Below are 15,157 nucleotides of genomic sequence, written 5' to 3'. Positions count from 1 at the left end.
TATTTTTAAGGAGAGGGGCTGCTCCTCATCTGCCCACTAGGGCTTGGACTGCAGCCGTCATTGCCATCTTCACCTAGAAAGTGCAAGAGGGCAAATAGGAAAAGTGAGTTCTAATCCTGCTTCTGCATTCCCGTGCTATGTGGCCACAGACAAGCATCTTTTCCACAACTAAGGGAGTCAGGCTAAACAAATGTTGAAGTCATCCATCCCTCTTCTAGTATTCTGAGATTCCTCGGCCAATTTTTTTTTAAGGAGTGAAAGAAATGACCACATTTCTCACTTAAAATTGCCAAAAAGGGCATTTGTACACTATTAGGGAACTACTGGGCCAAACAGCAGAAATTCAAAAGCATCAGAAATACTTCTCTGCCTCCCATAAGGTTGACCATCCAGAGCCTTCTGTGCTCAGTACTGTACTCACTCACTCTTCACAGCACCTCAGGGAGCTAAATGCTGTTGCAACCCCCAACTTACAGATAAGGAAACTGAAGCCCAAGATGAAGTGACTTATTTGAGATCACCCTGGGGAGGTGAAACGCTGAACCTTAGCTGCTTGAGTCCAAATTATTTCCATTCTACTGGGATGCTGAATCAAGGGTGGTTTTAAACATACAATCTGCCCTGGCCAGCCCCACCAACCAGGGGAAAATGCCCAGGCTCCCCTAACCCCTCTGAAGTGCTTCTTCTCTGGCTTCTTGGGTACCAGATTCCCACTTAGTAATCTGCCAAATAGTCTTCTTTCTAGGATGCAGGTGATGCCAAGATCCAGTCCCAAGCAGAGAGACCTAAAGCTGGCTTTTAATTATAAGGCCCATGATGGTTTGTTGTGACTTAGACAATAAGCATTCTGAGACAGGTTCCAAGACCTGGGGAAATCATCATTAAACAAACAAAGAGGCAAGACTTGTGCAGGACTCATATCAGAGGACATAAGGAGGGAGAAGAAGGGATGAGAATCTTTCCTAAATAATGCACTGCTTCTTCAAGACCCATGCCTGAGACAAACAGGATTATTAAGGTGGGAAACTAGCCTGTTTCACCTCTCTCTAATTAGAACTCCCTACACCTCCCAAACAAGAGAAGGGAAAGCAACTCTGTTTTCTGTCCATGTCTGCCCAGCCAGGGAAAGAATATTAAGTCTCAGAGCAAGGGTCGGGCACGGTGGCTCACGCCTGTAATCCCAGCACTTTGGGAGGCCAAGGCAGGCAGATGATCTGAGGTCAGGAGTTTGAGACCAGCCTGATCAACATGGTGAAACCCTGTCTCTACTAAAAATACAAAAATTAGCCAGGCATGGTAGCAGGCGCCTGTAATCTCAGCTACTCTGGAGGCTGAGGCAGGAGAATCACTTGAACCTGGGAGGCAGAGGTGGCAGTGAGCTGATATCATGCCATTGCACTCCAGCCTGGGCAAAAAGAGCCAAACTCCATTGCAAAAAAAAAAAAAAGTCTCAGAGCACGAAGGAACTTGAAGAACCCCCAGTGTAGGTCACCCCCTACCCACCCTAAACTTGTGCTAGCTCTGGACAACTCTAAACATGAGAATGGTTTTCTTTGATTGAGGCAAGATCTGTGTTCCTGAACCTTGAGAGCTTCACCTATCTTAGGTGTTCTTCTCTCTTTCAAAATTCACTGGGGACATATTTCCTAAAGTCTATATTGTGTGTGTCAGACACTGGGCTAGATTCTGGGGACAGGATGGTAAACAGGAACAGTCCTTGTCTTCAGTGGCACACTGGTACTTGCCACATTCCCCAAGTCTTGTCCTTTCCAGGTTAAACTCTTACAGTTTCTTCAATTGTTTGTTTTAGGCTATGGTTCTGGTCATCTCAAGATGAGCAATTTGTCCTCTCAGAGTCACACACCTGATACATAAGTCAGTCCCATGGGAGCCACAGTCGTTTCTCAGCCCTCACACATTCCACACCCAAACTCACCCATTTACAGTTCAACCATTCAAAACATAGTTACTGAATACCTACCGGGTACTGAGGGTCCAATTGGGAAGAAGAATAGACATGGGGGCTTTCATACTGTTGAAAGTAGGAGACATTCATCAAAGAGGCAGAAGAATAAATCTATTAGTGCCACTGGTGTCATGTGTGATGCTGGAATGAACAGGCAATGAGGAAGAGTCACGTATGGGGGTGGGAACTGACCCAGCTAGGGGATGCAGGGGAGGCTTCTGGGAAGAGGTGCGCTTCAGATCAAGACCTGAATGATGAGAGGTTGAGCACGTGATGCCCAGGCAGAAGGATGAGCACTGGGGAGGCCCAAAGATGACCATGAGGATGCTCCATGAGGATGCTGTATCTGAAGACATGAAAAGAGGCCTTGAGGTTGGAGCAAGAACAAAGGGATCTATGATGGAGCCGAAAAAAGAGCCAAAACCAGGTCATATGGACCCTTCTTTGCCAAGCAAAGGCCTTTGGAATTTTTTCCAAGAGCAATTGGGAGCCACTGAAAGTTAGAGGCAGGGAATGGTGTGAGCTGTTTCGTATCTTAGTACATGGAGGGGAAGGAGTAAGTGCAGAAAAGAGGGTGCCAGAACGGAGGTGATTTTAATGGGCCACACCCCACATTCTCACATGCTCTCGTTCCTCCCCCACTTCCACACATACTCCTAGAGTTTCAAGACGAGATGGGCAGACATAAACGAAGGAAAGCTAGTCTGTGTGAGTGCCAGGGCATAGATGGGGCGGGAGCGGTTGGGGTGCCTCATCTCCCATCTTTCTGCCTGGTCCCCTCGGCCTCAGCTTCCTCATCTGTAAAATGGGAGCTTGAGGAGTAGGCATCACATATAGATGGAACTTCAGAAAATCTCTTATATAAAGTTTCTATGTGTGTGTGAGGCTTCTATGCCCAATAGAAATGAACATCCTGAAAGGTAATGAGTTGTCCATCACTAGAGGTATTCAAGCAGATGCTGGGGAACTCAAAAGGGAAGAATGAAGCTAAGTAGTGATTTTCCCCTTACTTTCTACCAGTTATTGGGACAGATGTTTTTACACCTTATGACATGCTTTTAACAGAAAAGTAAGGTCAGGATTATCAACCCTCTCTCACAGAGGAGGAAATTGAGGCCTCATACAAGCAAAGTGACTTGCCCAAGGTCACTCAACTAGGAATGAAGAAAGCTATGACGTTTCAGATGTGTACTGCATGCCACAGACTATGATAAGTTCTTAACATTTGTAATACTGTTTAATCTCATAATACCGTGAGGTCCATTGTTGTCCCTATTATATGGATGAGAAAACCGAGACAAAGGGAGGCTTGATGACTCGCCCAGCGCCATGAAATGAGGAGCTAAGAATGTCTGAATCTTATCTCTAGAGCCCTGATTCTGACCCTCAACACCAAATTCCCTCTTAAAACTTCAACTCTCATGTTCCAAGTCAATGCTGACTGACCCTGGAGTCCATCCTCTATGCCTGCAGACGCAGCAGCCCCTCAGCCCTCTGCTCACCTGTGTGTTTCCTTTTGTATTCATTTCATCAGGCTACTGGAACAAAGCACCACAAACTGAGTGGCACAGAACAACAGAAATGGGCTGACTCACAGCTCTGGAAGGCGGAAGTCTAAAATCAAGTGCCGGCACAGCTGTGTCCCCTGAGGATGCTCTGTTCCAGGCCCCTCTCCTAGCCTCCAATAGTTTGCTGGTTTCAGCAGCATAACTCCAGTCTCCACATGGCATTCTCCTTGCGTGTGTGTGTGTCTGTGTCCAAATCTCCCCTTTATATAAGGGTACCAGTCATATTGGATTAGGGAACACTCTACTGCAGCATAATCTCATCCTACTTAATAACATCTGCAACCACCCTATTTCCACATAAGGTCACTTTCAGAGGTACTGGAGTTAGGGATTCAGCACAGGAATGCTGGAGGGGACACAACTCAACTCATAACTCCATCCAACGCCATGCATCTTTTCCTATAGGGAGCAGGTAAGAAGCTCTAATTGACCCTGGGTTCCTAAGGGCCTCAAATCCCCTTCTTCCATTCTGCAGCACCCACCAGCCTCACTGCTCTGTCCCAGTCCCCAAGGCCCTACATTGGATCCTGGCATCACCTTGCATTAGTGACAGCCTGCAGCCTGGCTTCCTCTGAGGTGGATCAGTCAGGAAATGAAGAAGAAGCCCACGTCCCTTCCAGAGAAGGCAGGTGAATATTTCATACAGTGCAAGAGAGTGGAATTCCATACAGCCACCTCCTGCAAATGCAACATGACACCTCGTAATGGGCGATATCAGTACAAATCCAGTCTCGTGGCAGCCCGGGGCCTCCTGGTAATTCCTCACATATTGTGCTCATGTCACTGTAAATACAATCGCCAAGCTCTGGCTCCCAACACAGCCACTGGATGAAAGAGGATCATTCCCATTTCTGCAGCTGAGTAGACTGAGGCTCATGGAAGGTAATTTGCCTTTAATCACACAGAGGGTGAATGGTGCTCAGGCAGAAGCCAAGGATGCAGAGAAGGAATGAGCAAGGTTGGTCCCCCAGTGCCATGTCTGCAAAGAGCAGGAACCAAGATAGGGGTGTTTAGTGGGACAAGAAATAGGGAAGTGAGGATGGGGCAGGAATGAGGAACGGAGATGGTTGGACAGAAAAAGAGGTAGAGACTGGAGTATAAGCAGAAAGGAAATAGAGCCCAAGGAAATCACTGGAAATTGGATGGGCTTGGTCAAGAGGTTGAGTCAGCAGCTGGGGAAAGGAGAAACCAAAGTCAGACATCTATGAGTGGGCCCTGACCCATCGTGGGTTTTGACAGAGAGGGATCCCGGGTCAGATGGAGAGTGCGTCAGGCTTCTTCTTGATTGGGTCGTTGGAGGGGGACCCAGCCAATGCCTGGGAGGATAAAGGAGACTGTTCAGTCCCTAGGATGAAGATGGAACTTCAAAGCAGTCTCCAGTTTATTTTCTGCAGGAAATCTGCAGCACCAAAGAGGGAACTGAGACTGGAGCCTGGATGTGGGGAGATGGGGAGGATGATGGTAATTCTTCTTCCTCCCCAACCCCCAAGTCTATTCTACTTTATTCTCTGTTCTGCTCTGGGTCCTGGGAGGCTGGCCCCTGAACACTATATCACCTAGTCTTCTAGGTTGGGGTGAGATAATGAAACTGGGTGGAGGGGGGATGTGGTCAGCCAGATACCAAAGAGCAAGTAGAGGTCTTGCCACAATGAAGAGAGGAATCACTTGAGGATGAAGTCATCACAGAGGAAAGAGAGGCTGGAGAATAAATGCCTGTGTACTTTATTCAGGCGCTTGGATTCAGCCGTGCCTGAAGGCCTACTAATGATCCAACAAGTTTTCTTCTTCCCTTAAACTAGCCTCTGCATCTGAAAGAGTCCTGATCCACCCAGGCAACCTTGCAACATTGTAAAAAGAGTAATTAACTTGTAATTAGACCGACCAGGGTTGTAACCACAGCTCTGCATGACCTCGTGCAAGATACACTGCTGCTCTCTGAATCTATTCTTTCACACCTGCAATCTCCAGGAGACAAGAACAAAATAAAATCATCCCTGTAAAAGCCCCTAGATTATATTAGGTACATCCAAAAATGAGAGTTTATCTTGAACTCTCTCCCTTTTCTGGGTCCCAGTACCATAATAAGAAAAATGTGATTCTTAGCATTGATGAGCTTATACATTCCATGAGTCAACCCATATGCTGTCTTATACCATCACGTTTTCTTCCATCCCCTGAAATATTAGTAAAAAGCTATCAGCCTGTGATCATGTGCAAGTGGCATAATTTCCTTGTTACTCACTTTCCCCAAATGTATAATGAAGACATTAATATTATTTACCATATGGAATTGTTGTGAAACTAACCTAGTTCATGCATCCAAAGTGTTAGAACTGGATGTTGAATGTAGTAAGTACTCAATACATACTGGTTATTTTGTTAGTGGTAGTGGTTTTCACAGTAGTAGTAAGTATTGTTATTATAGAGAACCTTCTCTGGCATATACATCTATATCTCCACCATCTCATTTACACCTAGACAACATAACCCTGTGAGATTGCTAATGGATACTGTCCCAGATGCACAGATCAGGAAACTGCCTTACAGAAGTTGCATTGCTTACCTGAGTCTTGAGCAGGGATTTGAATACAAGTGTGCCCAATTCCAAGCCCTGTGTGTTTCAGGACGACAGGGTATCACCACCCCACCCAAGTCCAGCCGGCCATAACCTCTGCACTTAGAAACGCAGTTGGCCTGTGGGTCCTTTGGATACACTGCAAGCATAAATTCTCTGGAGAATGTTCCCAGAAGTTTGCTTCTGAAGCCGTCTCCCTCTGCAAGTACACTTTCTTTTCATGTGAATGAAACCCACTAAATGGTATGGTGTCTGCTCTAATTATAGGCTCCCCAGCCGGTGCCAAGAGGAAGTTGGTTAATGTACACTTGAGTAGATTTCAAATCGGATTTTGTGAGTCCCCAGCAAGAGGGAAGGAGGCCAACTTCTCCCCCGGAGGAGAGTAACAGGAAATGCTGTCAGCACAGGAGTCTTCCCAGTTCGCCTCCTGCCAGAGCAGGTGATGCCCTCTACTTCCCAGGTTGCAGAGGCCTCTCCCTGACTCCTTTTCCTCTGCCCCTGGCCTGTCCCAGAAGCTGAGAGCCTGGGGGGAAGGAATGGGAAAAACAAGCCGAGGCGCTGGGATGGAGAAGGTATGGCAAAGCGGAAACAATCCTTTGGAATCAGATGAAACTGGATGCTAAGCCCAAGTATCACATTTCAGCTCAAGTATCACATGCGGGTGCCAGTATTTCCTCATGATGATTCCAGGTAGCTGTGTAGAAACATATGTCATAGTGTTTATTCCACATCTCTCCAATACTTATTCATGGCCTACTTGTGCTGCACTGTACTGCCATGAGTAAGATGGGACCCTGGGCTCCTTGGAACTCCTAGTCCAGCCTGGATGGAGTAAGCCGTCTATGTGCATCCATTTCACACGTCGTGATGAGAGAAGGAGAACACGCCACAGAAAGGAGGGGGCATCTGATCCACCATGGATGCATCAGGGAAGACTTCCTGGAGGAGGCACATCTAGGCTGGGACCTCAAAGAACTCGAATGAGCCCAAGGAAGGGTGGGAAAAGGAGCCCACTTGGAAAAGTCCATGTAAAGGCCCAGAAAGAAATGAAAACAGTGCATTCCAGGAACATCATTTAGAATGGCTGAAAATTGTAAAGAAGAGGCCAAAATGGCAAAAATACAGAAATGCATTTTTGAAAATCATGAAATCTAACACAGCCAGTCAAAATAATATGAACAAGGGATATTTTACAGTGTAGGGATTCAAGAGTTATTGGGTGAGTTTAAAAATGATATTGCCACATGAGCCCTACTGAAACAAAAAAAGAAGAAAGTAATATACGTGTGCATGTGTTCTAAAAGACTCTGGAAGGATATACATAAAAATTAGAATAGTAATTATCTCCAGGGGATGGAATTATGGATGAGTTTTCTTTTCTTCTTTTTTTTTAAATTTCCCAATTTACTGCAATGAGCATGTATTGCATTTGTAATCAGAATATAGTTTTTTAAATAGAAGGAGTGTTATTAGTATAGATCATGATCTACAGATATAGATCTGCTTAGCCTCGTTGCAAGCATTAAGTTTGATTGTTGTGCAAAGTTTCTTATAGAGCAGTGCAGTGTAGACGTCCCTTCCATCGAAATGCCCATGATCATTGTGGGAGCTCCTTGGAGCAGGGGCCAGAAGCCCTTTTCTCCCACGCTTTCACCCCTTCATTCCACATATATGTATGAAGCAGCATGCCAGGGTCTACGGAGACAGAGTTTCACCAGACCCAACTTCTACCTTCAAGGAAGACCGGCAAAGAAAGCTGATGATTACCATTTGGCGTGTGGCCAGAGCTCCGCACAAGAAAGAGCCGTCTCACCAGTGCTTCCAGCAAACCCAGTGTGCACACATACACACTCAGATACACTTACATGGAACTCACACTCTCTTCCTCACACACACCCACACACTGAACTTACCTATCTCCACCCACTCGACACACTCAAACACACTTGCACACTCCACACACATAAGCTCACCAGCAAGACCCCACACACACACACTCACATGCACATGGTCTTGTGTCAAGTGTGGTCAGAGCTCTCTACATCAGATCTCTCGTTTTCATCCATGCCCCTGATGTTTCCATCTCAACCCCAACCCCAGGCAACTCTTGCACACTCAGCTCCAGATTCCCCACCTCCTCTCCAGCCCCTGTAGGCTACAGAGGGGTCCTTTGTAAAGGATGCTTTTTTGTCAGCGCCCAGTTTGGGAACTTGCACAGCTCCCTACGAGATCAAGTCAAAGTCCTGGCTGTGGTTGAACTATTCATTGGTTCTCTCATGTGGACACACATTCACTCATGCCAGTGGCTCCAGCACTGTGCTAAGTGCTGAGCTGCCAGTTGAGATAGCCTCACCACCATTCCACAGAGTGGACAGTCATACTACTCAAACCACCTCTCCCTGCCTTCCATTCTTGGCCCTGCAGTCCTCCCTTACCTGGGCTTCCATAACTTTCTAATCAGAAAACCATTTAACAGCTACATTATAAATGTGCCAGACTACATGGCAGGCATTTTGCCCTCATGATACCTCATTTAAACTTCACAGGAACCGTTTATACGAGAACAAGTGAAGGAGAAAGAACTTTTTGAAACTTGAAGGATGAGTGTGGATTAATCGCAGCTGAATTGAGCATGTATTCTAGCCAAACACTGATAAGTGCTTTATTTGTGTTATTTTATTTAAGCTACATAATAGATCTATGTTTTTGTCATTCCCATTTTACAGATAAGAAAGGTCCAGGGAGGAGAAATTACATGCCTAATGAGTGTAATAGTAAGGACTCTTGGCAACTCTTGATATAAGTCCAATTCAAAAAAACCACCTTAAGCCAATAAAAGGAGCTTATAGGCTGAAATAGCAGAAAAAGTCTAAGGGTTCAGTCACTGTCTGCAGAAGAGCAAAAAGAAAAAAAACGTATAAGGGAACAGCATCAGGTATGGCTGGATCTAGGTTCTCAGGAATCTGTCTTTCTCCATCTCTTGGTATCTTTCTTTTGTGATAGCTTTATTTTCATGAAGACTTTCCCCTCATGCAGGTAAGATGACCATAAGCAACTAACTCTAGGTGTTCTTCAAACCAATTCAGCAACCACAGCAGAATCCCAAGTCTTATTGGACCAACTGAAGACCATATAACCATCCTCCCTGTTCTGTATGGACAGAAGGATTGCAAAGTGCTGGTTGTCCAGGCCAGGCCCAACCCTGAGGCTGGGAAGGGGTGCAGAGTATAGGGGAGGACCATTTCCACAAGGGAAGAAGAAGAATATGCTACCAAGCCCCTAGAACATTCATAAGGCAGCCAAGCTGCAAGTGCCCACTACCTGGGGATCAGACCGAGTGCCACCTCACTCACAGCCTGCGTGTTAACTGGTTTGCTCAATCCCTCCATTTTGATTGCCTCCTAATTCTCTGGCCCTGAGCTGACCCCACTGGGAGCCCCTTCCCACAGCCCTCAGCCCTGAGCGCTGATACTTAACAGTCATGCCAAGCGAATGATGGATGGTGGCTGCTTCCAAGACTCTTCAAAGGAGACAGGCAGCTGCCGGCTTGGAAAACGACTCCTGCAGGGACAAAACCCAAATGCAAACACACACTGTGGGACCACTTTGGCTTTTTGTGCATTCTCCCTTTTGGCCCCCTGCTCTTGTTTGCAATTTGCACTGCAGGGCATTGGGCAAAGCAAAATGTCCCAGGCTGCCCTGGAGAGTAGAAATCTTAACAAAAGGAATCGTGTGACTATCCTAGCACCTGAATAGATATCTTCCCCTTTCAATTCTTAGAAGTTCCCAGAGGCTTCTTGTCCTACCCTTCCTGCAAAGAAGAGGAGGTCCGGCCGGGTTCGGTGGCTCACGCCTGTAATCCCAACACTTTGGGAGGCCGAGGCAGGCGGATCATGAGGTCAGGAGTTCGAGACCAGCCTGGCCAACATGCTGAAACCCTGTCTGTACTAAAAGTACAAAAATTAGCCGGGCATGGTGGCACATGCCTGTAATCCCAGCTACTCAGGAGGCTGAGGCAGGAGAATCACTGGAACCTGGGAAGGGGAGGTTGCAGTGAGCCGAGATGGCTCCATTGTACTCCACCCTGGTCAACAGAGTGAGACTCCGTCTCAAAAAAAAAAAAAAAAAAAAAAGGAAGAGGAGGTCCAGGAGGTACAACTTGCCCAAAGTCTGCACAGCCAAGGAGTGGTGGCAGAGCTAGGGTTTGTGGAAAGAAAGAAGAGAACTGATATTGACTGAGCACCGACTACATGCCAGTCTTATGCTGGGGGCTTTACCTGAGTTTTAGCTGCTTGCTCAAATGATAGGGCACAGCTATAGGGACAAAGCCTTGATGCATGAGGCAGAAAAGGGTGCAAGTCCAATACTATACCCCAGCTTTGCAGTGTGTCCTTGAACGAGCCACTTCTCATTGCCCGGGCCTCAGTTTCTCCATTTAGAAAATGGAATGAATGGCCTCAACATATTTGGATTGTGTGATAAAGACCATTCTTGGGATCAGAGGGCCCTCTGGGTGTCTTTTTAGCCATGCGAACCAGAACTGGTGCCACAAATTGATTACATGAGCAGCTGCAGCATTGAATGAGGAAACACGACTAAGCCAATAAGGTCTTAACTCTTAAGCCAAGCCTTTCCTGATGCAAGCCCTGCCATCCCCTGCAGCTTCCATCTCTGACTCCATCTCTCACACTCTGTGCCCCACCACTTCGAAACACTTGAACTTTTAGAACAATCCTGATCTCTGTCACCTCCGGGCCTTTGCCCAGGCTGTTTCCTCTGCCGGGGACTCCTTTTCCTTCCACCCATTCTCTCTTGCTAATTTTTACTTATTGTTCTGTGTCTGTCTTTCTCTTTCTTTCTTTCTTTTCTTTCTTTCTTTCTTTCTTCCTTCCTTCCTTTCTTTCTTCCTCTTCTTTCTCTCTCTCCTTCTTTCTTTTCTTTTTCTTTCTTTCTTTTCTTTCTTTCTTCTTTCTTTCTTTCCTTCTTTCCTTCTTTCCTTCTTTCTTTCTTTCCTTCCTTCCTTCCTTCTCTCTCTTTCTTTCTTTCTTTCTTTCTGTCTTTCTTTCTTTCTTTCTTTTCTTTCTTTCTGTCTTTCACAGGATCTTGCTTTGTTGCCCAGGCTGGATGCAGTGGTATGATCTTCTATTTCTTCCAGGGCTTCACCTCTAAAATTTGTTTAGGTGTTTCTTTTGTACATCCATGGGCTCGTGCATTCGCTATCAGGCACTTTTTGCCATGTTGTGGTTTCCCATCGACTTGTCTGTCTTCCCCACCAAATTATAAACTCCATGAGGACAGGACAAAGTCTGTTCACAGCTGCATCCCTGGTGCCTAGCTCTGGGCCTGGCACACAGGAGGTACAGAAAAAGAGTGAATCCCGTTAAATTAGAGCAGCAATGGAAATCTGTGATCTTCCTGGGAAGATTATGCCACAGAAGACCCCTCAAAGTATCAAACAGAGGGTCTTTTGCTCCCCTATTTTCCAGAATTGCTTTCATCGAGACATGTTCTCAGTAGTAACAGTGGTGATAGCAGACATAGTCATTGCATTTCTAGCTGTGAGATCAGGAGGGCCCTCTGACCCCCAGAATGGTCTTTATCAAACAATTCAGCATGTTGAGGCCATCGTTCCATTTGCTAAATGGAGAAACTGAGTCTCAGATACGGGGAAGTGGCTTGTCCAAGGACACAAAGACACTTGTCCTCTTGTTCTGAAACCATTGTAAGAACCTCCTCCTGGCCTTCCAGAGTCCACGGTAATCCTGCTTCTCCACACGGCAGCCAGAGTGGCCTTTCAAAAGACAGATCAGATCACATTCCCCTCTGGCCACGACCCTTCAATGTGTCCCCATCTTACTAAAAGCCCGTCCTTAAAATTTCCTACAAAGCTTTTGCAGGTTGAATTTTAGAAATAAAAGGGCACAGGGAGGGCTTCCCTGATCCCAGCCAGAATGGCCTTATATTACACAATCTGGGATGAAAGAACCCTTGGGGTCATCAGTTCAATTTATACCTTTTTTTTTTTTCTTTTTTTAGAGAGACGGAGTCTTGCTATGTTGCCCAGGCTGGAGTCCAGTGGTGCAATCATAGCTCATTCCAGCCTCGAACTCCTGGGCTCAAGCAATCCTCTTTAGTAGCTGGGACTACAGGGCTGGCAAATGCACGTAGTTCAATCACACTAAATGGAGAAACTGAGTCCTGAGATGGCACTAAGCATGTACCCTTGGGATCAATACCAGTGGAAAGGAAGGAAAGGCATGAGAACTGGGCAGAGGGAGAAGCCAGGGAGGGATACAGTCCCATGAACAGCCTCCATCAGTCCCGCAGGGAGCCTTGGAACTGGAATGGCCCATCAGAGTTGGACAGCATTGGGCAGAAATGGTCAGACCCTCATATCCCTACTGTGGTCAGTCATCGGATGTGGGAAGCCAGCCATCTGCAGCTAAGCCACCTCTGAACAAGCTGACAGCTGAGGGTCATAGGCTAATGGCAGCACTCTCAGTCACTGTGGTAATAAGCCTTTCCTCCAAGAGAAATCCTAACAAAAGCCCCGCAGAACCTGCCCCCTACCCTCATTCCCTTGCTAACCTCCATTCCAGCCACCCTGGCCTCCTTATTCCTCAAACACGTTATTGCGTTTCTACCTCACAGCCTTTGCCGTTGCTGTTCCCCCCACCTGGAGTTCTTTTTCCCCTGCTAGTCTGATGATTTGTCCCCTCACTGTCTTTAGGACTCTGCTCAAATGTTACCTTATTCAGGCATCCTTCTTGACCTCCCTCCAATAAAAAAAGCAGTCCACCTCTCCTCCCCAACTCCCTGATGCTGCTTCACCATTGCCATCTGACACACGGTGTAAGCCTTGTACGTTTGTCATTTGAGTGCAAGACCCAACAGGGCCTGACTGATCCAGCGCCAAGCCCAGAACCGGGTATTCTGTAGGAACTCAATAACGGTCTGTAGACCGACCCCATAAGCCTTCAATTCTTCACTTACACCAGAAAAGAAAACAATGGATTTGAGAAGAACCATGTATAGCAGTCCCATGTGTTGGTCTTAGACAGGACGGCAGGCTTACGCATTTGTAGCATGGTAATAAAGTTGGGGCTGTTACCATTATTTTAATTCTCATTATCTCTGTTTAACACAGGAGGCAGCCAAGGTGGGCACAGGAAAAAGGACTCACCCAAGGTCACGCATCAGGAAGCAGCTGAGCCATCGTAAGAGCCTGGGACTGACTGACTTCACGACTCCCCTGACACTGCATGGGCATGGAAGGAACTCCTCAGGGTTCCCCTGATATTGCAGGGGTGTGGAAGGAACTCCTTAGGGCAGCTGCTTCTCAACTCAGGTGGTGCTGCCACCCCCAGGGCCCCTTAGCTATTCCTCTTACTTCCTGCTTGAATCTGCAATTGCGTCTCTGAACAGAATGGTGTTTATTAACTTCCCACTGAGCTTATTACTGAGCAGACACCTTATCACCTGCCACCTGTATGCTGAGCTGAGACTAGCAATTCCCAGGCCATAAATAGCCCTAATCTCTATCCCATGGAGCCAGGGGCCACCAGCTTTGCCCAGAAGTTGAAATCAAAGGCCAGGAGCTGGCTCTTTTTCTGTCCCCACCCCTGGCCACCACTCTAGGGCCATAATTCAGGCATGAGGTCATCGAGTCAGCCAGATCTCTCTGGTCTCCCTGCTTCAATTCAGCGTTTCTTTTGGTGGCATGACAAAGTCACTGCCATGTAGCATTCATTCTCAGCATGGCTGAAGAGTACCCTGGTTGGAACTTTCTGTGATAATGTGGCAAAGTGTCAGACAGACACAAGCTGTGCCTCAGACTCACTCTGATCTCTTGGGTAAGCTGGCCAACCTCTCTGAACCTCAGTTTTCCCATCTCTGTAATGGGCATAATCATTCCTCTATGACTGTTTGCTGTGGTTTAAATGAAACAATGGATGCTTTGAGCGCAGGACAGGACTGAGAGCTCAATCAATCAAGGCCAACTTCTCCATTTGGCACAGTAGGCAGAGTATCTAGGGACCACAATACACCTAGGGGCCCACAAAAATGCTTTCGTTTCTTTTAATTATTATTATTTTTGTTTTATTTTATTTTTGTAAAGAGGAGGTCTCACTCATCTTGCCCAGGCTGGTCTCAAACTGCTGGCCTCAAGCAATCTTCTCGCCTTGGCCTCCCAAAGTACTGAATTATAGGCATGAGTCACTCACTGCCAGTGAGCCGTGTGGACTTGGTAAAGTCACCAACTTCTCCGATTCTCCTTATCTTGAAAACAGGGGTGATAATCCTCCTCCCTACCCCACAGATGCTGCGACGTTCCAAGCAGATCTCTAAGAGTAAAAACAGATATTTTCCACCATAGTGTGCTATTTTTCTGTCCCTAATGTTATAGTCAATTTTTGCTTTTAATTTTAAAAGAAGTGAGGCAGCCGGACGTGGTGGCTCAAGCCTGTAATCTCAGAACTTTGGGAGGCCGAGGCGGGTGGATCATGAGGTCAGGAGATCGAGACCATCCTGGTTAACACGGTGAAACCCCGTCTCTACTAAAAATACAAAAAATTAGCCGGGCGAGGTGGCGGGCGCCTGTAGTCCCAGCTATTCGGGAGGCTGAGGCAGGAGAATCGCTTGAACCTGGAAGGCGGAGGTTGCAGTGAGCCGAGATTGCACCACTGCACTCCAGCCTGGGTGACAGAGCAAGACTCTGTCTCAAAAAAAAAAAAAAAAAGAGAGAGAGTGAGGCTGGGCGCAGTGGCTCATGCCATTACTTTTAATGGCAAAAACTGCAATTACTTCTGCACCGACCTAATACAACCTGCAGCGTATTCCTCTTTATACCAGCACAGTTCTAAAATGTATTTTTAATTTGTTTTTAATGGTGAGAAGGGCCCATGAATGCAAAAGTACACAAGGAAGACGAAAGTCCTAATTTGGCCCAGCAAATGATGCATGCTCCCTTCTGTTTGAAAGCTAGAGGCAAGACCTGCCTGCAGCCTGGGAGCCAGAAGGATCACTTACGCAGCTTACTTCGTAGCG

The sequence above is a fragment of the Homo sapiens genome, chromosome 22, assembly GCF_000001405.40.
Source record: "Homo sapiens chromosome 22, GRCh38.p14 Primary Assembly".
Lineage (NCBI taxonomy): Eukaryota > Metazoa > Chordata > Mammalia > Primates > Hominidae > Homo > Homo sapiens.
Note: the sequence above shows the minus strand (reverse complement) of the source record.